Source organism: Homo sapiens, chromosome 14, assembly GCF_000001405.40.
Source record: "Homo sapiens chromosome 14, GRCh38.p14 Primary Assembly".
Taxonomy (NCBI): domain Eukaryota; kingdom Metazoa; phylum Chordata; class Mammalia; order Primates; family Hominidae; genus Homo; species Homo sapiens.
Genome location: NC_000014.9, coordinates 50,049,201 through 50,073,678, shown reverse-complemented (window position 1 = coordinate 50,073,678; position 24,478 = coordinate 50,049,201). Strand labels below are relative to the sequence as shown.

Genomic DNA, 24,478 nt, shown 5'->3' with positions numbered 1-24,478 from the left:
GCATCCCACTTCTGGGTAGCCACATCTCTCTTAGTTTTCTAGTGCTGCATAACAGATACCACAAATGTGGTGGCTTTAAACAGCACAAGGCCTTCTGATTTTCACACATGACCTCAATTGGTGGCTAAACGCCTCCAACCTTTCATTAGCTTTCTTGAATGCATCAGTGGTGTTCACCAAAAGCCTTCAGATTCTTCGGAATCTGAAGCCTTCACCATCTGTAGAATCAGTACACCCTCCAACCTCTCAAAAAAAAAGGGGGGAGCTGCGTTCCTTTGGAGGAGGAGAGGCGCTCTGATTTTTAGAATTTTAAGTTTTTCCTGCTGTTTTTTTCCCGTCTTTGTGGTTGTATCTACCTTTGGTCTTTGATGATGGTGATGTACTGATAGGGCTTTTGTGTGGATGTCCTTTCTGTTTGTTAGTTTTCCTTCGGAACCCTCAGCTGCAGGTCTGTTGGAGTTTGCTGGAGGTCCACTCCAGAACCTGTTTGCCTGGGTATCAGCAGCGGAGGCTTCAGAACAGCGAATATTGCCGAACAGCAAATGTTGCTGTCTGATCGTTCCTCTGGAAGTTTTGTCTCAGAGGGGTACCCAGCCATATAAGGTGTCAGTCTGCCCCTACTTGGGGGTGCCTCCCAGTTAGGCTACACGGGGGTCAGGGACCCACTTGAGGAGGCAGTCTGTCCTTTCTCAGATCTCAAACTCCATGCTGGGAGAACCACTACTCTCTTCAAAGCTCAGTTGGAAATGCAGAAATCACCGTCTTCTGCGTCTCTCACACTGGGAGCTGTAGACTGGATCTGTTCCTATTCGGCCATCTTGGAACCCCCCCCCCCCACCGCCCTCCGCCCACCGAGAAGGAATTTTCAATGCTGAGTCTAACCATCCTTGTTATCTAACTAGAGTTTTATATAACTAATATACAGCTTTGCTGTGTGGTATGACAGGTAAATCAGATGATAAATATAGTAAACAAATGGACACATTTGTCAAAATGTTTTGAATTACTTAATGGGAAAGAGTGTGAGAGCCTGATGAATCTCTGGCAATGACACTCCTGTGGCAGAGAAGAATCGGGTGTGGTTTTCATGTCTGGTAACTTGCAAATGGTCACTTGTGCAAGATATTTACCATATTTCACTGGGACCTCCTAACATCATCCTCTTTTGATCTAAACCCAGGTTGGTAAAGAAAATGCATATGATATGAACTTGTACACCTCCCTGAATGCTACATCAGGGAGGCATATAGAATTCAACTCTATAAAATCCACCTTCCCCTCTGAAATGTACATCTCAAGATGTGTGTTGCTGAATCAGGTTACTCTAAACTTACTTGACTTTCTTCATCGAAGCCACCTGAGAATTCAGTAATTCCTTTGCATTTGTGGCTTTTAAAGATTCCCACCTCAGCTGGAGGGTTAGTGTGTAGATCATTAACACCTGAGACTTTTGGGCCCCACCTGAATTTGTACAGTGGTAGAGAAACACAACTGGCTGCAAACATATCAGCCTAAGCTTTTAGATTAAAGCTGTTAGCCACAGCAAGCTTTGTAGATTAGCTATGAACTTCATGTGAGTTCTGTCCTCATCTATCATTACCAAGGATGGTAAAAAGTCAGCTATCTTATAAACCTAGTCTATATCTCGTATGACTTTACTGCTCCCCATCCTAACAAGGCACAGATGAGTAGGTGACACCTAGCCTAATGAAAAACCATTTTTAGATGCTAGAGAATAAATTTCCTGCTGAGTTAGGCCCAGATCATTCTATTAACAAAATGTGCTGAAATATGAAAAAGTATACAGCAGCAGGGCACAGGCAAATTGGAGCAGAAAAGAGTAGACAAAGAGACTAGCAGGCAAGCTGTTTTAGCAATTCAGGAAGAAGATGGTGAAGGCCTAGACTAAGGTAGTCCTAGCAAAAGCAGAAGGGAAGTAGCCAATCTGAAGAACCGGGCACGGTGGCTCACGCCTGTAATCCCAGCACTTTGGGAGGCTGAGGCAGGTGGATCACTTGAGGTCAGGAGTTCAAGACCAGCCTGGCTAACATGGTGAAACCCCGACTCTACTAAAAATACAGAAAAATTAAAAAATAAGTAGCCAGGCATGGTGGTGCACATCTGTAATCCCAGCTACTTGAGAGGCTGAGAGGCAGGAGAATCACTTGAACCTGGGAGGCGGAGGTTTCAGTGAGCCAAGATTGTGCCACTGGACTTCAGCCTGGGCAACAGAGTGAGTGAGACTCCGTCTCAAAACAAAAAAGAGAAGTAGCAAATTTGGGAGCCACCAAAGGAAGGCTAAATCAGGATGAAAGTAAGAGTGTAGTGCGAAGAGCTCAGGCTGGATTCTGACGTCTACCTCACAGCTGAGTGACCTCAAGGCCCTGAATCATTCATTCTGAGCCTCTGTTTTTTCACCTGTAAAATTAGGAGAGGGTGGGCCCTAAATGCATTGAGTGTCCTTAGAAGAGAAAGGAGTGGGAAATTTGAGACACACGGTCATGTGACGATGGAGGCAGAGATTGGGGTGATGGGTCCATAAGCCAGGGGACACAAGGGTTGCCAGCAGCCGCTGGAGGCTGGAGAGAGGCATGGCAGGGACTCCCCCTCTGAGCCTTCAGAAGGAACCAACCCTGCCGACACCTTGATTTCAGACTTCTGTCCTCCAGAGCAGGGAAAGGATACACTTGTGTTGTTTTAAGGCACTGAGTTTGTGGTAATTTGTCACAGAAGCCCTAGGAAATGAACACACCATCAAGTTGGGAAGCCTTGGCAGTCCGGGGTCACCATGGCTGTTCACCCGCGCCCGTCTGTCCTCAGGGACAGACCCGGAGGCATCCACGCTGGCTTTGGAAGCTCGTGGTATAGTTACTCAGGGGCATCATCATGTTTTGATAATGCTGCTCTCCTTCTCAGAAGCTAGAGTGAGTTCCGGTTGATTCCAAATTACATTTAAACACTTTCTCATTTGCCTCAAGGTTTTTTCTTGGGGAAAAGGCCTGAATACTCTCGCTCCCTGGGGCCATTAAATTTAACTTGTTTTATAATCAACATAGCAGTTATGTGATAGTTGACAAAGCAAACCATGGCACACGATCTGTCTCTAGCTGTTGCTTAGAACGGTGAATCTCAAACCAGGCACACCAGAACCATGTAGAAGGCTTGTTAAAATACTGGCTCCCTTCCCTCCACCCCTGCCCTCCCACCCTGTCTCTGATTCAGTAGGCCATGGATTTCTCATTTCTAACAAGCTCCCACATGGTGGGTGGTGTCATTGATATTGGCCCCTGCTACACTCAAAACCAGAAGGAGTCTCAAACTTTATGGCACATTAGGATTACATAGGGAGCTCCCAAACATCCCATGCCAACGTTGCACCCCATGCCTATTCAGTCAGAATCTCTGAGGGTGAAACTTGGGCATCAGTCATTTTTAAAACTCCTCAGATGTTTTTTGTTTTGTTTTGTTTTGTTTTTTGGGGTGGATGGGGACAGGGTCTCACTCTGTTGCCCAGGCTGGAGTGCAGTGGCACTATCTTGGCTCACTGCAGCCTTGACCTCCTGGGCTCAAGTGATCCTCCCACCTCAGTCTCCAAGTAGCTAGAACTACAGGCTTGCACTACCACGTCCAGCTAATTTTATTTTATCCTATTTTTTTAGAGATGAGGTCTCACTATGCTGCCCAGGCTTGTCTTAAACTCCTGGGCTCAAGTGGTCCTCCCGTCTTGGTCTCTCAAAGTGTTGAGATGATGGGCATGAGCCACCGTGCCTGGCCATCGAATGATTTCAATAGCCGATCGAATAAAAAAAACACAAAAAACAAACAAACAAAAAAACAGTGGCTTAGTGGCCCTCCCTTCCTCCTCTCAGCCAATCCCAGAGAAGCTGGAGGGCTGGGAGATGCCCTGGCTAGGCTTGGGGCCCATCTCTCAAATCCAGGATTGGGGCCCAGCCTTGGAGTGGGGAAAGAAGACAGAAACCAGGATTCCAAGGAGACAGCACCTTCCTATGGCCACTGCCTACAGGTTCAATCTGGGGGCCCAGCAAGAGAGGGATGCTAGAGCTTGGTCCAACGGCCTGGGTGCAACTCTCCCTGCTTTATGATTCTGATCTCTGTGGCTTCACTCCTCTTTGTTCTCCTTTCCTTATCTATAAAATGGGGATAATAAAAATGCCTATCACAAAGCAAAGCTGTAAAGGATTAGAGAAAGAAATGTACTTAGAGTACCTTGCCCAGGTGGTTTAAAAGGGAGAGCTCAGCAAATGCTAATTTCCCTTTCTCACCTGCCCTCTATGTGTTTTCTCCTCCTTCATTCTGAACTGAGCAGAAGAGAGACGGGTCCACTCATCCTTTGCTTCTAGTTTTACAGCCAGAGTTTGGGGCCTGACATCTTAGTCTCACTATTTTTCCTATTAAAAGAGATCTTTAGGACTACCTTTTTTTGGTTTGTTTATTATTCCGAGATTCCTTTAAAATACACATACGTATCCCTCATTTGTAAGTGGAAGTGTACTTTATACCTTTTTCTCCAGTTTGTTTCTTTTACCAATCTTTTTTATTTTTTATTTTTTTTTTGAGATGGAGTTTTGCTCTTATTGCCCAGGCTGGAGTGCAATGGGGCAACTTGGCTCACTGCAACCTCCACCTCCTGGGTTCAAGCGATTCTCCTGCCTCAGCCTCCTGAGTAGCTGGGATTACAGGTGCCCACCACCACGCCTGGCTAATTTTTGTATTTTTAGTAGAGAGGGGGTTTCGCCATGTTGGTCAGGCTGGTCTCGAACTCCTAACCTCAGGTGATCCACCTGCTTCAGTTCCCCAAAGTGTTGGGATTACAGGTGTGAGCCACCATGCCCGGCTTTTTCACCAATCTTGAGAGCTTGTTTGGAGGTTCTGGCAGGGGAGCACAGGTACTCGTATACCTTTGACCAAAGAAGGACCAGTCCTCCTCTATCAGGGATGGCCGTCCTCTTCGATTGAGAGCACCGCTTCAGGAGGGAGGCACATAGAGCAGTGAGGGAGGAAGGGGATACCTGCCTAGCCAGCCAGATCAGCCGAATCAACCCTGGCGATCAATGGAGTGACAGATGTCACAGCCAGATCACCCTGCATCCATTTTCACAAATCTTAACAATTACTCCATGGCATGTTATGAAAATATTATTTTTGCTCCTTTGGAGAGCTGCACAGCCTTCCATTATGTGTGTGGATAGGCCATAATTTATTCAACCAGTTCCCTCTCTTGGGTTGCTGCCAGTCCTTTGCTTATTACAACAGTGCAATGATCACGCTTGTGTGTGTTTTTGTGTTTTTGCTAGCATGTCTTTGGGAAGGACTCCTGGGCAGTCACTGCTGCTGCCCCATCTCGGCAAATGCTCGGCAAGCCCCTCAGGCTGGTTAAGAGACATCGAGTGCTAACCCTATCTTCCACAGCTTCTTTCCACACAGTTGACCAGGCTTTGCCCGCAGAGGCAGCAATAAGAAGGTGGCCTCTACCTCACTGTGGTCCTTCAGATCTCATCCCAGTGCATCTTGTTGGGAGCACCTAATGCCTAAGCAGAATTCTAGCTGCAAAGGAATCTGGAAACATAGGTTTTAGTGTTCTTGTCTCTGTCATACAGGAAGGCTCACAGTGGGTGGGAGTGCCAGGCACCACATCCAGCTCACCAACTTCATTCCTTTCCTTTACAAATGAGAATACTGAGTCATGGAAGGGTTTTATTTGCTTAAGATCACAGAACTGGTTCACGGCCAACAGCCCCAGCTTTCGCCCTTCACTGTCTATGCAGTTTGTCCCTGGTGAGTTAGACTTTCATTGACCAAACACCTTAGTAAAACAGGAACCATTCCATACACTGTGAGCTTTTTGTTTTCTCCATGTGACAAAACACACCCCTTCAAAGCCTCCCTTTGGATGTATTATAATCATTGAGTAACGTTGTGGGCTGAACCCTGTCCTGCCTCCCCTTCCCCAATTCATATGTTGAGGTTCTAACCCCCGGTACCTCAGAGTGTGACCGTGTGGGGAAATGGGGTCTTTGCAGAGGTAACCAAATTAAAATGAGGTCATCAGCGTGGGCCCTAATCCAATAGGACTGTTGTCCTTATAGGAAGAGGACACTGGAACACAAACAGTAGGGAGGAAGATGATAAAAGGACACTGGAATAAGACGGTCATCTACAAACCTGGCAGAACCAGGGACAGGTCCTTCCCTCACAGCCCTCAGAAGAAACGAACCCCGTCAACACCTGGATCTCAGATTTCTAGCTTCTGAAACTAAAACATATATTTCTATTGTTTAAGCCACCCAGTCTGTGGTGCTTTGCTATGGGCCCCATAGCAAACTAATACAGTAACTAAGATCTGGTAAGAAAAAAGAAACACGTATCCAGGAGACCAAAGTAGCCTCTTTTATAAATTGCTGCGTTCAGTGTTTCTGTCCACATTCATTTCTGCAGCTGCCTCCCCTCTTGATGTTTCTGGTAAGCAGACTCTGGTATCTTCCCCTAAGAGGGACTCTCTTTCAGAAAATGCTTCCTGCATCTCGCATAGTTCAGAAGCCTCTGGAGTGGTGAATTGGCTGCAGCTTCCAATGGTGATAGCATCACCAGCCCTCACAGAAGGGCAATCTGAGCACCTCAGAGCTTTTGCCTCATTGGGCACCCAATGAGGATTGTCTCTCTCTTTTCCACCCTTCCTCTTGGGGAGCTGTGGCCATCTTACCCTAAATGTATTTTCCCCCATTTTCAGAGGAGGCAAATGTGGCATGCCAAATGCATTTTTAGTGACTGAGATCTTAAACGTATTTTCCATCTGTGCTAGGTCATTACGTCGTTAAACCCCTTGATATTTTAATGATTTTTATGGTCAAGCGATGCATAGGTTTGTTCAAGTTATTATTCTCTACATGTGCCATTGCTCATAAGATGCTCCAGCAAGAGCCCGCCGAAGGCTCATTTAATACATGGCACTGTTCTCAACGTGTCCTTTCTCGGCAGCCCAACCCCGGCACTGGCAATGGTCACAGCAGAGCATATCACACCAGGCTTTGGGTGTAAAGACGGAGAGTACAGTTCAAATGACGCCTGCAAATCCCTTCAGAAATTGCCGTGTTGGAGACCCTGACACCATTTCTCACTAAGCATAGGACGGGCTCTCTCTCCGGTGCAGAAGCAGAGTGTTGTCTCTTCAGTAAAGCCCCAGGACAGGACTGGCCTGTGTCTAGGGGCCATGCTAGTATTATACAAAGGCTTGCTAGTGCTCACGTATGAGAATGAGGCAGGAACCAACATCTATTGGGAACAGCAGATTTATATCCCCTTATTGAGTGAAATGGGCAGAATTGCCTACACTATTTAAATGTTCTCTCTCTCTCTCTCTCTCTCTCTCTCTCTCTCTCTCTCTCTCTCTCAGTTCAGCCTTACTAAACATACAGCAGTGTACAGCATGGCTGGATATAATATGGCAGACACAGACAGGACTGGACAATGGTCCAGGATACCCAGGTTTCAAAGTCACAAGCCTTTCAGAGATTGCTAATGCAAAAGGACTTAGGAGGCGGTAGACTTAAAGCAGGTAGAAGTCCTTGCCTTCTCTGGGCTTCAGTTTCCTCACCTGTAAGATGCATGCTTTTGAGTAGGATGATCCCAAGGCTCCCTTCTGCACCCCCTGACATTTGGTGAGTTTGCAGCCGAGAAAGACTGGCCACCTGGGACAGCCTCAATGACCCAGTGGCCTCCTAGAAAAGCACCAGCCCCCTCCTGTCTCCTCCTGGGAATGTCATAAGACAGAGTTTGGTAAGAGTAAGAACAAAGATGAGAAATGGCTTCTCTAGAGGACGCCTGGAAATCCATTCTACTTGCCTCCTGTGTCTCTTCAGTTGAGCAGATCTTAATCTAGCACCTGCTAAAGACAGAGTGCTGAGTTCTAACCCCTGGCACTTCAGAGTGTGACTGTGTGGGGAAATGGGGTCTTTACAGAGGTAATCAAATTAAGATGTCAGTAGGGCGGGCCCTAATCCAAGAGGACGGTCATCCTTATAGGAAGAGGAAAATGGGACACAAACAGTACAGAGGGAAGACAATAAGAAGACATTTCTTATCATTTAATAAAACAATCAAACTTATATCAAGGTTGGAGTTTCACAATGTCAGGGACAGTTCTCAATGGGCTGTGTTTGTTAGGTACTGGAAAAGTAAAGAAGTTATATAAACTGTCCCTGACATTGTGGAACTCCCAGTCTTAGTATAAGTTTGAATGTTTTATTAAAATGGAGAAAACTGAGTGTTTGGTTTTGGTTGGGGGTGAAACCCATTGGGAACAACTCTATGGCATATCAGGGCTTCTTTCTGAATGAATTTCTAGATTTACATCTCTTCGTGGCTGTGGTCATCATTAGTGCTGTTTACCAGATATTTCCAGTTCCCTTTCTACTGAGTAGATAGTAGATCCATTTGTCTTTGAGCCACTAAAATTAGGTGTGGCTATGTGGCTTGCTTTGCTGATGAAATGTGAACAGAAGTCATGGGTTTCGCTTTCAGGCAAAAGCCTGAAGAACCATCACATGCTCTCCCCGTGGTTCCTTTTTGGTGCTACGGTAGTGAGTAATAATCTAGAGGGTGGAGGCTGGCTAGCCTGTGTCTCTGGATGAGGATGAAGTGGAGTAGAGACCTTGCTGATCCATGAGGGACATGGAAGATGAGCAAGAAACGAGCCTTTGTGGGTTTAAGCCATGGAGATTTACAAAACCTTTTATTATTGAAAATTTCAAATATATATGTATATATACAATACAATATATATATGCATATATATAATATCAAACCTGTTGTACCCATTACTCAGCTTCAGCAATGATCAGTGCTCAAATATCAATGATCAATGTGTAAAGCCTCTGTGATTTGGAAATTTTTTGTTGCTACAGCACAACCCAGACAGACCCCACCGAAAATGAGAGGAAAGAATGTGGTTTTACAGAAACATGAGACGAGCGACAAGGAGCTAAAGAGAGTGGACACAAAATGCTTGAGATTTGATTTGTATGCTCTATTTTTAAAAATGTGTATGCTTTTAGTAATTCAGGAGAGCTGAACATCTGCTTGAATTAGTTGAAGTAAAAGATGCTTGTCTTAGTCCATTTGGGTTGCTAGGACAGGAATCCACAGACTGGATAGACATTTATTTCCCACAGTTCTGGAGGCTGGGAGGTCTGAGATCAAGGCGCTGGCAGATTTGGTGTCTGGTGAGGGCTGGATTTCTGGTTCATAGAGAGCGCCTTCTCCCAGAGTCCTCTTGTGGCAGAAGGGGTTTCTTTCATAAGGGCTTTAATCCCCTCCATTAAAGGGCTCTTCAGGGCTCTGTCCCCAAGACCGAATCACCTCCCAAAGCCCCACCTCCAAACACCGTCACCCTGGGGCCTAGGATTTCCACCTGTGAATTTTACCTAGCATTGCTGGACACTCAGAGTGGGCCTGCTTTGTGGACTCCTGTCCCTTCATCTCCACCTAAGGCCACCTCCTCCAGCTCACCCTCCAGCACTCCTGGTAGCTGGCACTTAGCTTCTCATGAGCTCTGCGATGTGTTTTCTGTGGAGAGAGATGGAAGCCCTGTGGCCTTGTGCAGGGACCTACCTCAGCTTTCTGGGCCCGGCTTTGCACATCTGGCCTCATGAAGGACGTGTAGCTGCTGCGGACTTCAGGGGCAGCTCCAGAGAGTTAGGCCTGCTGAACGGTTAAGTCCTGTTCTTTCCACAGAGCCAGTTTGATGTAGTGCATTTTAAGTCACACGGGGACCTTGAGGCACATGTTTTGTTATCCCTTAGGTATACTTGTTGCAATGATAGTAGTGTAGCAAAATATCCCAGCAAAACCTCCACTGGTGGCTGAGCCCACTGAGGACCTGTGTTTGCTGGGTTAACTTTCTCTCTGTGTAGTTCCTAAAGGACCGGAGTGTGTTGCCCAGCTACCCATGCTTTTCTGCTAGTCTACTGGACTGCCACGGAGCTGGCACTGCTACTGTTATTCTGATTTTGTAGTGTAGGTAATTGGGCAAGTCTCCCCTCTACTCTTCTTTGTAAAAGTTAATTATTTCTCCATTGAGTTTCTCAAAAAGAAATCCAGTTGGAATTTTGATTAGCATTGCATTAAATTTATAGGTTCATTGTTCATATAACTAGGTCTTTATAAATGTCATCCAAAGTAAGTCATCTTACATGAGGTCATCCTACCCAAAATGTGGAATGTACTCTATTTATTCAGATCATTTTATGTTTCCTTATTAGAATTTAAGACATGTTTTTAGAAGTTTTGGGTATTCTTGGCTATTACCTAGATATATTTTGTAATTCTTGCTGCTATTGTAAATGGTATCTTTTTAATAATATTTTTCAGCAGTTATTGTGGGTGGACAGAGATGTTGTTGATTTTTGCAGGTAGATTTTGTGTCTGGTGAACTTGCTGAACCTTCTGAGTTCTAATTGGTTTGAATCTGTTTTTTCTTTTTCTTTTTTTGAGACAGGGTCTCTGTCACCTAGGCTGGATGCAGTGGCACGATTTTGGTTCACTGCAACCTCTGCCTCCTGGGCTCAGTTGATCCTCCCACTCAGCCTTTGGAGTAGCTGGGACCACAGACATGTGCCATGATGCCTGGCTAATTTTTTGTAGAGGTAGGGTTTTGCCATGTTGCCCAGGCTGGTCTTGAACTCCTGAGTTCAAAGCAATCTGCCCATATCAGCTTCCCACAGTGCTGGGATTACAGGCATGAGCCACTGCACTGGGCCTGAATCTGTTTTTTCTAAATTGACAGGTTACTTTGTTTTTTTACTGCTACAGTAAGAAGCACCCTCCCCCAACCCCAGTTAATCTCTGTGATAGGTGGGGGTGGGGCTTAGGGGAAGGGTGACTCACTAGACAGGAGTTGAAAATGCCTGGGTTTTTGTGACACTAACATCTGTGTCCTCCATAGATGGAGCTCACATCACGGAGCTCATGAGAAGCTGAGTGCCAGCTACCACACACACATTCAGACATTTGCTGTCGGGCCACGGGCCATGCTGATGGAGAAAAGGTAGCCTAAATTCTCTGGTAACGGGGGTGAGAGAGAGAGAGAGAGATGTGGCGATGAAAATAAAGAATAAGGAAAGGAATAGCGACTTCAGGGGACTTTGCCTGGGTTGGGGCTCAGGCCGGGGCCTGGGAAGTATGAGAGACAGAGGGTGATAAAAGGGCATCAGGTGTTAGAGAGCAGCTGGACCAGAAGACCCACCATCCGGCAGCAACACCCAAAGACCTTTGGTCACATAATGTGGGGACGGGGAGGGAGGAGCTCTGGCACTGGAGATAGCCTTGGGCACCTGGCAATGCCCTCCCGCCCCTTCCCCGCTGACTAGTTCACAGAGGCCTTGCCCCATGCCACTGCACTGCCTTGACACTGACACACAGCACTGCCGGCCCAGGGACTTCTCAGGGTCCAAACCTCCTACATTCCCAGGGCTCCCAGAAATCAGAGCTGAACCCACAAGGCACACAGAGCTGGGCCTCTGAGCTGGCTCCCAAAAAGAAGTGTGTTGAGGGAAACATTCTCAGCAACATTGAGAATGTTTTCACTGGACCACTGTTTACCTTGTTTAACGAGAAGCTGTCACTAAGCATTAAGGTTTCTTTGATTTGGAGACTTCTCTGCACACCAGAGAACCAGTGGCATAGGGTTGCCTCCTGCTCTGCACAGTGTCTTCCGGGGCTGCTGGTGGCAGGATGTGGCGGCCTGGTTCAACAGCTGTGATTAGTGACCCTGATTGTAGCCGCTAGCTGAGTGATTGTAAAATCAGGAAGTGAGGAGGGTTTTGTGTTCCCTCCTGGCCCCTCCTGCAAGGAACTCTGGATGGAAAGGTGAACTTGCTAAGTGCAGTTGTGCTTTGCTGACATCTGCTCCCGTTTTTGCCCCTTCACTGCTTTTAATGAATTCTGGGTTCAGGCACCCTGAGCCCTGAACGTATGGAATCTGTCCTGGGAGAATCTGTTTGTTTTATAGAGGTGGTGATGAGCAGAGGCATCCAGGCAGGTCTATTCATGTGGGAAAGCAGAGAGTTGCCCTGGATCCTACTTAAGGCCAGACCCTTCAGGTCTCCAGAGGGGACAGGCCTGGCACTGTCTGTAAGCAACTCTCGAAGAAGCCAGACTTTTCCTGTAAATGTATAACCAAAAAAAAAAAAAAAAAAAAAAAAAAGACTATTTTGGAGCAAAGAAGCCAGAAAAAGGGCTAATGGGGGATGAGAGCGTAAGCCTGGCCCAGTGACCCAAATCCTGAGTTTGTGGAGGTGTTTACAGGGGCTGAACGGCCAGGCCCAGGCTGGCCCCAGGGAACCCCCAAAGGCCATGAGTGAGGCCTGCGTTTTGGGGTATGCTCCTTGTTTCCTGTGCCGGCCTGTCTCCACATGCTGGGTGGTTGTGAAACAACGGCTTGCAGTGACTCAGCTTTATAAATAGGACATTTACAGTGAAAATTACAGGAAATTCCCAGAGTCTCCTGCGGGGGCTTATTTTAGGTGTGTGGCTTACACAAGTGAAACCCCAGCCACCCTCTTCCAGCCTCTTCTCCCTGCAGCATCCTTGGGTATCTGATTTGAGGCAATTGCTTCTGTTCTGTGACAGGAAACCACCCCAGGAGGTCTGAGAGAAATGAGGAAAGGAGGCGTCCATCTCCAGCCCCATTCAGACACGCTCCTGGGAGAGAACAGCTCACATTTGGCTCACGCTTCTCATATGCCGAGCGCTCTGCTGTGTTACCTCAGTGACTTTCACTGACTCCCAAGGAAGTGATGGGGATGGGGAAACTGGAATTCAAACCCATTTCCAACTCCCTCCGGATCTCGAGAGATTAACCACAGACACAACTTTTCCTGAACACAGAACAAGAAGGCAAAAGGAAGCAGAGGTCCCTGTTTTCAGGAGAGGACAGGAGAAAGGTGCCAGTACCCTGGCCTTTGGTTATATTTCCCTTTCCCTCTTCAGTAACACATTTCTTGGCAGGACATCTTTTCTGGAAAACCAGACTTGAGCTTGGAGTGGCTCAACAGCCCTTGCTGTAGCTAGGTTTGATGGAGAAGCTGAGAGAGCTGCCTGCACCCGGGTAGGAGGCTCTGTCATGGAGGGGCTCAGGCCATTGCAGGTTTAGGGCCTAAATGTTGTGCAAATATTTGCCCAACAACTCCCAGTGTGCCTTGGAACAAGCAGCAGGAGCGGCCCTGGCTGAGTCCCTGAAGAGAAACGTGGATGTGATGACTTTGAATGGCTCCCAGCTTCTACTTCCTCATAATTTGCCAGGATCTCTGTCGCCAACGAGCCTGGTTACAAGGAGAGGGGGCTCCGTGCTAGCCTGCTAGGCATGATGGAATCTTCCGCATTCTCCAGATGAAGCCCGCACACCCATGCCTTCATCAAGCAGCAGGCACTGCCAATGCGTTTTTGAGCTACAGATTTGTATTCCCAGCAATCTGTGAGATTCTCCCCCTAGATCCTCGCAAAGCTTCTGAATTTATCGAGTTCAAAACAGAACACCCAAACTGGCTTGTCTTGTATTCTCTTTCAGTTAAGGCTGCCTTCCCTAGTCCCCCTAGTTAGAAACCATTGGCTCATCCTTAACCCTCTGCTGCTCTGCCCTCTCCCTCCCGAGTCTGATTGATTCTCCCTCCTAGCTCTCCCCTCAGTGCCTGGAGTGCATGGGTCTGACCCAATGGGTGGTTGGCAGGGGTAGGAGTGGGAGTTGGGAGGAGCACATGACCCAAGCTGAGCTCATTAGATCCCAGGGTTTTTCTAGCTGCAGCAGGCTCTTTTCTCTCTAGATGCTTGCTGGAAGGCTGGGAATCCAGAGGGGCCTGTGGCCATGCATCTGCAGCCTGGCAAAGCCTGCCTGCAGCAGCGAGGGGACATGCTGCAGGGAGAAGCCATGATGAGTGGTGGAGAGAGACTTCCTGAGGGGACAGAGCTCCCAGTACAGCTGTCCCCAAACCAGGTCCACCCCCTGCCCCCATCCATCCTTCACAGGCCACCAGGATTCTTTTCCATGTTCTCCAACTTTTTGTTTTAAAAAAATCCAACTACAAAGAAGTTGACAGAATAATTCAGTGAATACCTACATACCCTTCACCTAGATTCACCAGTTATTAGCATTTAGTGACAGTTATGTTCTCTTTTTCCCTATATATTCATGTATGTGTGTTTTTTCTGAACCATTTGAAAATAAGTTGCTGATGCCATGACACTTCTCCCCTACATATTTCTGCATGTATTGCCTAAGAATGCGAACATTTTCCCCACAGTCACAATACCGTGATCACATTCAAGAAATTTAACAGGGCTGGGCGCTGTGGCTCATGCCTATAATCCCAGCACTTTGGGAGGCCAAGGCAGGTGGATCACGAGGTCAGGAGTTCAAGACCAGCCTGGCCAACATGAAACCCCATCTGTACTAAAAATACAAAAAATTAGTCAGGCGTGGTGGCAGGCACCTCTAATCCCAGCTACTTGGGAGGCTGAGGCAGGAGAATCGCTTGAAACCAGAAGGCAGAGGTTGCAGTGAGCCAAGATCACGCCACTGCACTCCAGCCTGGTCAATAAGATTGAAACTCTGTCTAAAAAAAAAAGGAAAAAAAAAGAAAAGAAATATTAACAATGATATAATAATATCTAATATTAATATATATCCACATTCAATTTTGCCAAGTGGAATTTGTTTATGGATATAAGATATTATGATAGTTTTTTTTCCCTTTTCAATTCAAGAGCCAATCATGGATAACAAATTGCATTTAGTTGTCTTATCTGTTTAGCCCCCGTAACCTAGAATTGTTTTCCTGTCCTTTTTTATATTTCATCATATTAGCATTTTTTGTATCCTTCAATTTGGATTTGCTTTTTCCTCATGATTAGAGTCATGCTGTATATTTTTAACAGAGATAACACTGGATTCTTTTCAGTGTATCACATTAAGAGACACATGATGTCAGTTATTGGTGTGTTAAGTTTGATCACCTTGTTAAGGTGGTGTCTGCCAGATCTTTTCATTGTAAAGGTACAATTTTCCCTTGATACATGGGAATAATTACATATATATATATCTGTTCTTGTAAAGTGGAAATTAAGTATATGTTCTTATGCTGGTTCCCTTGGCTCCAATTTCCACAGGTCAACATAAAGAAGGCCCAGTTGCACCTGCACACACAGTGGGTTGTGTTAGAGGGGAGGAATGCTGAGCTTAGAGAATCAGCATCTTTTATGATAGGCAATAAGTCTCTGACCTCTTCTGCAGAAGACATTATCTTTCTTATACTAGGCACTAAGCATGCCTGTACTTTGCTCCAAAGGGAGAGTCTTGTCTTCCAAGGCTATTTGCTATTCAAATGCCTTTGGAAAGAGATTCCAGAACAGAGGCAGTGAGTGCTCCTGCTCATAAGACACCCACAAATGCTAGAGACGCATGGAGAACTGTCTCCCAACAGATCCTGAAAAATTATCTTTCTACAACACAATCCAGTCATGTTATTCCCCTGTTGTGGCTGGTGGCCTCCCAATTCCTAGTCTCTGCACCTTCAGTAGCAGAGACCCCCACCTCCCCTGACCCACAGCTGTGCACATGGCTTTCCAGAATTTGGTCTGTGTTTCCCATCTTCTCTCTCAGCAAGGTGTGGCTGTATGATTAAGTTCTGAGCAAGAGGCTTTAAGAATAAGTAAGTGTGCACAACTTCTGTAAAATGCCCTTAAATGATAGTGTGCCTTAAAGGATAGGGAGCACGCCTTTCTCCTTCTCTTTCCTTCTTTGTACAACATAAAGTAGCAACCTCCCTCCTCCAAGGCACTTGCTAATTCTCTCTCTGCCTTGTTTGTTTCCACAGAGGTTACACCATTTGACACACTATTTATTTTGCTTATTTTGTATATTGTCTGTCTCTTCTCACTAGCATGTAAACCCCATGAACAGTGCTGGTGCTAGCATTTTTGTATCTGTTGTTGAAATACTGAAATACTTCTGTACCAGTGGGTGGCTGGTCACTCCCCAAGTCCCTGTGTGCTCCCCATGGCACCTCCCAGCTACCCAGCTGTCTTAGTCTTCTTGGGCTGCCATAATAAAATACCATCGACTAGGTGGCTTCAACAACGGAAATGTATTTTCTCACAGTTCCGGGTCCAAGATCAGGGTGCGAGTTAATCTGGTTCCTGGTGAGGTCTCTCTTCCTGGTTTGCAGGCAGCTGCCTTCCTGCTAAGTGCTCACATGGGGAGGGGGGAGAGAGAGTGAGCATGCTCTCTGGTGTTCCTTCTTCTAAAGGACAGTAGTCCCATCAGAACGAGGCCCCCCACCCTTGTGACCTCACCTAACTCATTACCTCCCTAAAAGCCCCATCTCCAAATACCATTGCCCTGAGGATTAGGACTTCAACATAAGAATTTTGGGAGAAACACAAACATTCAGTCAAGAACAATGAAACAGGCCTTGACTCAAATAGTAGGGGGCTCCCAGGACCCCACATCTGCATGAAGGCCAGTGATGCCCTGATCAATCAGTATGCTATACCCCTGAGGTGTTCAACAAATGCTTGTTGCATGAACGCATGACAGAGCCTAGGATGGCGCCAAGCCATTCCATTGTCCATCCCAAACTCAAGAAGAGCTGGAGTCAGGTTCTTCAGTGAGTAAAAATCAGGGAAATTACCAAGCAGCACTTCTCTGCTATTTTTAAACAAAGGACTTCTTTCCTCAAACCCTTCCTATTCCTATCTCATCCCACCCCGGCGGAAGAGGAAATGACTGAGCAGAAACATAGAAGGGGAATCATTTTTTCCCCCTGAGACAATCCATTACCAGGCCCTTCCCTATATCAATTATAGGATCAGCAAGTGCAGGAGAAGCAACACTGCACGGGTGTGAGTGCCGGGACGGGAACACGCAGGCTACCGTCAGCTCAGAGCCACACACATCTTCTCACTGCCTGGTGTGAGTGCCACACGGGAACACGCGGTCCACCGGCCAGTTCAGAGCCACACACATCTTCTCACTGCACTGTGTGACTGCCGGGATAGGAACATGCGGTCCACTGGCCAGCTCAGAGCCACTCGTAACTTCTCCCTCCCTGCACGGTGTGAGTGCTGGGACAGGAACACACAGGCTAACGTCAGCTCAGAGCCACTCACATCTTCTCGCTGACCTCACCTCTCAGGAGTTCCATTCTGCACCAAGGCGATGGAGCAGTTTAAAAGCCTGTATCTGTCACATTTTTAAATGTGCAAGCCTGGTGAACCAAGTGATTCCTCGTTCTGGGATCTACCTTTGAGAAATGCTCACACGCATGCTCAGGGAGGCATTGCTTCCAACAGCAAAAGCAGTTTAAGTAATCTAGATGTCTAGCAGCAGGGAAACAACTAATGGATGTATTGCTAGAGAACACACTATGGGTGGGGAGACAGGAGGACTGAGGAGGAGAGAGAAGGAGAGGTTTTGGGGCTGAGAGCTTGGTGGGCACGGGCTGCCAGCTGTCCCGGCTTCTGGCAGGCTGCTTGCTGCAGACAAGTGGCCATGGGGAAGTCATCACTCAAGAGCATTCTTGCAGGCTTTGCTGATGCCGATGCACGTGCAGCATGGGAGGAGGTGCAGGCCTGGTTTGACCTAACCATGGGTCCGTCTTTAATCACTATTAAAAGCAGTCATTGCTGCCCTCCCTGGTGGCACTGGAGTACTGAAAGTGTAATGGAAAGAAATTAAACTAAAAGTAATGTCTTAAACCTATTAATTTAGAATGGCCAAAAGGAAAAGAAGCCCACAGGAAAGAACTCTTGCCTTTATTTCCCATTAAATGAGCCAAAGAAAACTCTTTCCTTCAAATGACTGAACCCAGCCATTCTTCTAGCTCTCATTGTTCTCTGGTGTTTGCAAAGGGCACTATCTGGCTGCACGGCTGTGCCAAAGAGCTCTCAGGACAGTCGTTTAACTGAGGAAAACAGCATGGCGGACCCAGTTTTGCTCACCGTGTCTGCAGGGAGTTAATAAGAACTCCAAGAAAAAATAAGTCTGGGCCGAGCGCAGTGGCTCATGCCTGAATTCCCAGCACTTTGGGAGGCCAAGGCGGGTGGATCATTTGAGGTCAGGAGTTCAAGACCAACCTGGCCAACATGGTGAAACCCTGAATCTACTAAAAATACAAAAATTAGCCGGGCATGATGGTGCACGCCTGTAATCCCAGCTACTCAGGAGGCTGAGGCGGGAGAATTGCTTGAACCCGGGACGCAGAGGTTGCAGTGAGCCGAGATCCCACCACTGCACTCCAGCCTGCACTCCAGAGCGAGACTCTTGTCTCAAAAAAAAAAAAAAAAGTCTGGGAAGCACTGGGTTAAAACAAGTAAAATACCAGCCGGGCGTGGTGGCTCACACCTGTAATCCCAGCACTTTGGGAGGCCGAGGTGGGCGGATCACAAGGCCAGGAGATCGAGACCATCCTGGTTAACACGGTGAAACCTTGTCTCTACTAAAGAATTCAAAAAATTAGCGGGCGTGGTGGCGGGTGCCTGTAGTCCCAGCTACTTGGGAGGCTGAGGCAGGAGAATGCCATGAACCCGGGAGGTGGAGCTTGCAGTGAGCTGAGATCACGGCAGTGCACTCCAGCCTGGGTGACAGAGTGAGACTCTGTCTCAAAAAAAAAAAAAAAAAAAAAGAAGTAAAATACCTTTCTTTACAATAGAGCCTTAAACATATTAATGTGCAATGCAAATCTTCAAGAAGGGTATGGAAAACCGTGTTGGTTTCCTGCTCAACATTCCTTGCCGCACGCCTTTGCTGAGAGACCCTCAGTTTTGTTGGTTTATAGCACCTGTGTGTCTCATGGGCTCCTCCCTGGTCCCAGGATGAAATGTTCACAGGTCGGAGCCATTTTCCTTCAGTAACTGCTTTAGTTATAGCCATGTGCTGTGGTCCTGCATGTAACGAATGCAAAGACGATCGGCCCTGGGAACCTCTAGGAAGGATTTCTTGGCTCTTAAAACATGACACAGGATGAGTACTTGCCCCTTCCTGCCTTAGGACATTGTCATGTGAAGACATGGGCTTGGCGCTACTGCAGTCCTGTTGGAATCATGAGGGAAAAGCCAAGAAAATCTCAGAGAAACTGGTCTTGATCTTTGATGCTGTTAAGTTGCTGCATTAACCACCCCAGAATGGCCCTTTGGGTTTGTCACTTTGTAGTTTAGGCCTTAGGGTATCCTGTGATGTTCAGCTCACAGCATCCTGAAACCAAGGGGCACATAAAGTGCTGACAGTGCCCAACCAATTCATCTGACCACAGAAGGTCCCCCCAGACTAGGCCTCTACTGAGAATGCCTTGGGAAAGGCTGACAGAGTGAGGAAGATGGAGGTGAAGGGCAGATGCTCCAGGCTCTACCCTAGGTTCTAAAAATCACGTGAGCACCTGGGCCTCATTTTCAACTGTGTGAAAAGAACGTGCCAACTAAAACAACAGAAGTCAAGCATCTAATACAGTGCATGTCACATGGTAGGTGTGTCATACATGAAGAGCTGTCATTCATCAAATGGAAGTGGGGAGGGGAGGAGTAGTCCAGTTTCCAAGTCTCATTTATGCCTGAGAGATCTTTGTAACTATTCCAAAAATAATAAGTGTTCCTTGACCCCATACCCATTTAGAGAACTCTCTCACCTCATTCAGCAGGAAAAAAGGGAAAATAAAGATTCCACAGATGTCCTAGGCAAGCATGCTAACTCCCGGGCCCCTAGTCCCTCACTCCTCTGCTAGAGCGAGCTGCGACCAACTCCCTGGATGGCCAGAATACTTCTGTGTCTGCTAATGGCTCTGAAACACTCCTCAGTGAGAACGTCCACATGTACTAGATACCCAGTTTGCTGCAGAGGAGAAATCTCCACTCTAGGCACTCATGGGGATGCCAAGGGGATTGAGTTCCTCCTCGTCCAGAGCTCTGGCTGAGACTCAGAGCAGCAGCCGGCAGACAACTGACCTGGGGCTTTGCTCACTCTCTTCTCTCTCTCTCTCTCTCTCTCTCTCTCTCTCTCTCTCTCGGTTTTGTTTATTGAGGGAAGCATTTAATTTGTAATCATGTATTTCATCCCCAGAAAAAGAATCCCAGGGTTTTCTCTCCTCTGTGCCTTTCTCGTGCTTCCTCGTGGTCCATGATGCCAGCTTCAGTCATCAGGTCAATAAAACCAAACTGATGGGATGGAGACTAATCTGCCATTTTTCTAGGTCTTTGAGTTGCACAGTAAATCTGGAGATGATCACTGCACATTTATTTAGCCTGCCTGTGAGGGTCACAACAATTTTCTCAGTTCTAGGATCAACGACGATTTCAAATTTTCCAAAGTTATCAAGCTTCATCATCACAATGAGAAACCAGATGATGATATTGGAGCACAGCCTAATAAGAACCTGGTGTTGGCCAGGCACACTGGCTCATGCCTGTAATCCCAGAAATTTGGGAGGCTGAGGTAGGTGGATCACTTGGGATCAGGAGTTCAATACCAGCCTGGCCAACATGGTGAAACCCCGTCGCTACCAAAAATACAAAAATTAGCCAGGCTTGGTGGTGCATGCCTGTAGTCCCAGCTACTTGGGAGGCTGAGGCAGGAGAATCACTTGAACCCAGAAGGTGGAGGTTGCAGTGAACCGAGATCGCGCCACTGCACTTCAGCCTGGGTGACAGAGCAAGACTCTGTCTCAAAAAAAGAAAGAAAGAGAAAAAAAGAACCTGGTGTCTGCTTCTCTTTTCAGCATTGTTGGTGCTCTGAGGGTGTCAGCCAGGCCACTCATGCAGACCATTGCGGCAGCACTGAAAATGGAAGAAAGATGGGATTCTGCTGTCTTTTGTTTTGGCTGATGAACAGCACCGAGATGGAGTGGCTGTGAGTATAAGCGTGTGTGTGTGTGTGTCTGTGTGTGCGTGTGCACGCACGTGCGTGCATGCATGCCTATGTGTCATACCCAGGTACTGTCTTCACTTTGTAGAAACATCTTATGGGGCCAGGCGCAGTAGCTCACACCTGTAATCCCAGCACTTTGGGACGCCGTGGCGGGCAGATCACCTAAGGTCAGGAGTTCAAGACCAGCCTGGCCAACATGGTGAAACCCCATCTCTACTAAAAATACAAAAAAAAAATTGCTGGACCTGGCAGCCTGCACCTGTAATCCCAGCTAATCAGGAGGCTGAGGCAAGAGAATGGCTTGAACCTGGGAGGTGGAGGTTGCAGTGAGCCAAGATCGTGCCACTGCACTCCAGCCTGGATAGCAAGAATGAAACTCCATCTGAAAAGAAAAAAGAAAAGAAAAGAAAAGAAAAGAAAAGAAACATCTTATGGAAGGTGTAAGGCCGACTGGGCAAGTATTATCCCCTTTAATAGACCAATAACTAGAGGTCCAGAGAGGTACAGGGGCCTGCCCCAGGTGACATCCCTAGTCCGTGGCAGAGCCGGGTGTGAGAACAGTCCTCTGGCCCCTGGGCTGGTGCTCTTCCCACCATGTGAGGGACATGTTGGGTGTCCAACAATGAACAGGACTCTTGCTGTCCAAGGATGGGAGAGAGAGAAACATGAAGAGGCACTTCTATGACAGCCCAGAACCCACTGAGAACACCAGGCACTGCCCACTTCATTCCTTCCACCTGCCCCACTCTCTGAAAGGAGAAGAGACGGAGCCACCCAGCAAGATTCTCAGGAGAAAAGCAGTGCCGAAGAAGAACCACGCCACAGAGGCCAGATGAGACAGGGGGACCGGGCATGTCGGAAACACCTCCTGTGGGGCTGAACACCAGCAGAGAAGAAAGGGGGCAAGGTGCCAAGATGGGGCATGGGACTGCAAGAATGAAAAAGGAGTGTTCCCTGGGCTTTGGGGATAATGGCATTGGAATTCTTCTTTGGGCCACTCTTTAAATCTGACAGTTCTCTGGGACTGGACTATGAGATTCCTAACTTTTATTTATTTTTATTTTTTATTTTTGGAGTCTATAAATTTATTGAGTAAAAACAAAATCGATGTCAGATACATTATATTTGATTGGGTTCAAATTTGGCTGATGTCTAAATGCAGCAGAGAAGAAGAGAGGGGAGGAAAGGACATGGTGTTTCTGGCAAGGGGACACTGAACAAAACTGTTTTCCTTTAATTGTAAAAACGGGCATCACACAACCAGTGTGAATCAATTAACCAAGGCAGGGGACTCAATGTTTTACGAGCAGGGGGAAAACCAAAGTAAGCAGAGAACTTTCAAGATAGGAGAGGGCCAGGACACTCAGAGAAAAAGCTGCAGCACAGGCCGGCTGGAGAACAGTGGTCGGATCTGCCGGGTCACTTGGGGAACACGGTAACCACTTCATAGCCCTCGGGTGGTGCGACTCACTCCCAGGCATGTTTCTCACAGTAGATTTGATCCTCCACAAAGAAATGGTCCCTCTGTTTCAGGTTGGTGCAACAGTCAGTGCACAAGTAACACTCGGGATGGCGGTGACGGTCCCACAGCTTCACGAACACACCGACAATTCCAGGGCCACATTTGTCACACATAGGCAACTTCTGAGCATTTCCAATCAATGCAGCCACTTTAGTGACAGGAGCTTTAACACTTCTGAATCCTGAGGGCTTGTTGGGATCCTCTTTTTCTTCAGACTCCAGGATTTTCTGCAAAACCAGAAAAGACACAGACTGTTTTGGGGGCTCATTCAACTCCCGTATCTCCTGAAGCACCTTGCAAACTTCAGATTCTTTGTCGATGACAAGGCTGATTGGAGGCTGAGCATGTTCGCCTCTACCCCGCTGGTAGCAGTCTGACTCCAGGGCGTTGTTGAAGTTGGATATATTTTCAGAAGAGTAGAGGCCAGCTGGGTTGTTGTACTGGTTTGTGATGACCCTGGCGTTAGTGCTGGAGGCAGGCGAGGTGGTAAAGGGCATGGAACTTCGGTTGTGGGCGCTTCCTATGTGCAGGACCTCCTGGGGTTCAGAGACTAAATTCATCTTGTATGGACGACACTTCTCTTCCTCCATCACCGAGGAGACCAGACTTTATGTTCGGATCTGGCTACAGTGAGAGTCATGTTGTCTTTGCAGCCTTTGATTCTGTTCTGAGCTTCCAAGTGCGTCATATTGCTAGAATTTTCCCCATCAATGGCTGTGATTACATCTCTGATACATAAATTAGCTAGAGCCACCTTGCTTCCAGGAGTGACCCGGCAAATAGTGAGGCTGCTCGAAGTCCTTGACACCCACGAGACGGAAGCCCCATGGGCCCAGGCCCTGGAGGACGAGCTGCTGGGTGGTCATGGCGCGGCTGTCGTGGGCAACGACCCGCGGGGACAGACAGGCAGGATGTGGCATGGCGTGCAGGGATCCCCCGGCAGCTTGAGATTCCTAACTTTTAAATGTTACAAGCCCTGTGATTGTGATGTCCAATGTCAGTTTGGAGGAATGGGTATTTGATGAGTCTGTGTCAGCTTAGGAAGGCTTCTTGGAACAGGTGACTATTGAGCCAAGTTATAAGGCTGTGCTTCTTCTTCTCTTATGTGCATTGGAATTACCAAGGCTCTGATTCAGTAGGGCTGGGGTGGGGCCTGCGATTCTGAATTTCTAACAAGATCCCAGGAGATGCTGATGCTTTGAGTAGCAACGTTCCAAAGGATTATTGAGTTATCGGAATGAAAAAAGGGCTCGGTCTTTCGAAGAAGACATTCTTGGCACCAGGCAAGATAGAGCAAAGGTGGAAGGTAAGCCATACCATGGAGAGTAGGGTGTGTCAGGAGGCAGTGGATGACACAGACCTTGCTTGAGGTGTCCCTGGCCTGAGAAGGGCCCGGTGGAGTGAATGATGGAACTTGGAGTTGCCTGTGCATGGCAGTGTTTCTCAAAGTGGAACCCAGCTCTATCAGAACCCCTTGGGCACTGGTTGAGAATGTGCATCACTCCACCCACAGAACTTTGGATTTTTGGAGGTCTGGAGGGGGCTCAGGAATCTGCATTTTTTAAGAAGCTTATAAGGCAATTCAGATGCAAACTAAAGTTTGATAACCTGCATTGAGCAATTAAGGGTTTTGTGAGAGAGGAACGACAAGATTAGATTTGCATTTTGGAGAGATGCTCTGGGTACCTGAGGAAGATGAGGCCAGGAAGAGGGAGGCTGGGGAAGGGCTCAGGTGGTTCTGCAGGCCAGAGAAGCTAAGGGCTTGCAACAGGATCCTGGCAATGGCAATGAAGGGGATGAACTCAAGAGACATCCATCAGTCATTCCCAGTGGGCTGCCACTTATGAGTATATGGGGGCAAGAGAAACGATGAGTTCAGTTTTGCCAAGTTTGGAGGATATCTAGGTACTGAAGTCCATCAGGCAATTTGATATGAGAGTCTGAAGTTCAGAAACGAGGACCGGGTCTGGGTATAGATTTTAGAGTCAGCCACTTGTAGTGTATTTACCTTTAAGCACTATGGTGAACTTCAT

General features: G+C 47.3%; 1 long non-coding RNA gene and 3 pseudogenes across 1 annotated transcript in view, besides 8 other annotated features; 1 reads left to right on the top strand and 3 right to left on the bottom strand.

Annotated features, from left to right (window-relative positions):
* The window catches only part of LINC01599 (long intergenic non-protein coding RNA 1599), a 97,731-nt gene that overhangs the window by 31,365 nt on the left and 41,888 nt on the right, over positions 1-24,478 (top strand). Inside the window, exon 3 of the long non-coding RNA NR_131171.1 lies at positions 20,775-20,905. This is a non-coding gene — a long non-coding RNA (long intergenic non-protein coding RNA 1599). The remainder of the gene's footprint in view (positions 1-20,774; positions 20,906-24,478) is intronic.
* RN7SKP193 (RN7SK pseudogene 193) lies at positions 4,851-5,111 on the bottom strand (annotated as a pseudogene).
* Positions 8,355-8,714: an enhancer, noted in NCBI's record as "active region_8345". NCBI's record gives its function as "activates an Ori minimal core promoter by ATAC-STARR-seq in GM12878 lymphoblastoid cells {active_cell/tissue: GM12878}" and the evidence as "EXISTENCE:reporter gene assay evidence [ECO:0000049][PMID:35858748]".
* Positions 9,085-9,134: an enhancer, noted in NCBI's record as "active region_8344". NCBI's record gives its function as "activates an Ori minimal core promoter by ATAC-STARR-seq in GM12878 lymphoblastoid cells {active_cell/tissue: GM12878}" and the evidence as "EXISTENCE:reporter gene assay evidence [ECO:0000049][PMID:35858748]".
* Positions 10,690-10,899: an enhancer, noted in NCBI's record as "active region_8343". NCBI's record gives its function as "activates an Ori minimal core promoter by ATAC-STARR-seq in GM12878 lymphoblastoid cells {active_cell/tissue: GM12878}" and the evidence as "EXISTENCE:reporter gene assay evidence [ECO:0000049][PMID:35858748]".
* Positions 11,370-11,439: an enhancer, noted in NCBI's record as "active region_8342". NCBI's record gives its function as "activates an Ori minimal core promoter by ATAC-STARR-seq in GM12878 lymphoblastoid cells {active_cell/tissue: GM12878}" and the evidence as "EXISTENCE:reporter gene assay evidence [ECO:0000049][PMID:35858748]".
* Positions 11,930-12,109: an enhancer, noted in NCBI's record as "active region_8341". NCBI's record gives its function as "activates an Ori minimal core promoter by ATAC-STARR-seq in GM12878 lymphoblastoid cells {active_cell/tissue: GM12878}" and the evidence as "EXISTENCE:reporter gene assay evidence [ECO:0000049][PMID:35858748]".
* Positions 12,310-12,599: an enhancer, noted in NCBI's record as "active region_8340". NCBI's record gives its function as "activates an Ori minimal core promoter by ATAC-STARR-seq in GM12878 lymphoblastoid cells {active_cell/tissue: GM12878}" and the evidence as "EXISTENCE:reporter gene assay evidence [ECO:0000049][PMID:35858748]".
* Positions 17,498-17,617: an enhancer, noted in NCBI's record as "active region_8339". NCBI's record gives its function as "activates an Ori minimal core promoter by ATAC-STARR-seq in GM12878 lymphoblastoid cells {active_cell/tissue: GM12878}" and the evidence as "EXISTENCE:reporter gene assay evidence [ECO:0000049][PMID:35858748]".
* Positions 17,668-17,727: an enhancer, noted in NCBI's record as "active region_8338". NCBI's record gives its function as "activates an Ori minimal core promoter by ATAC-STARR-seq in GM12878 lymphoblastoid cells {active_cell/tissue: GM12878}" and the evidence as "EXISTENCE:reporter gene assay evidence [ECO:0000049][PMID:35858748]".
* Positions 20,082-20,443, bottom strand: RPS15AP2 (ribosomal protein S15a pseudogene 2; annotated as a pseudogene).
* On the bottom strand, positions 21,993-23,390 carry PDLIM1P1 (PDZ and LIM domain 1 pseudogene 1; annotated as a pseudogene).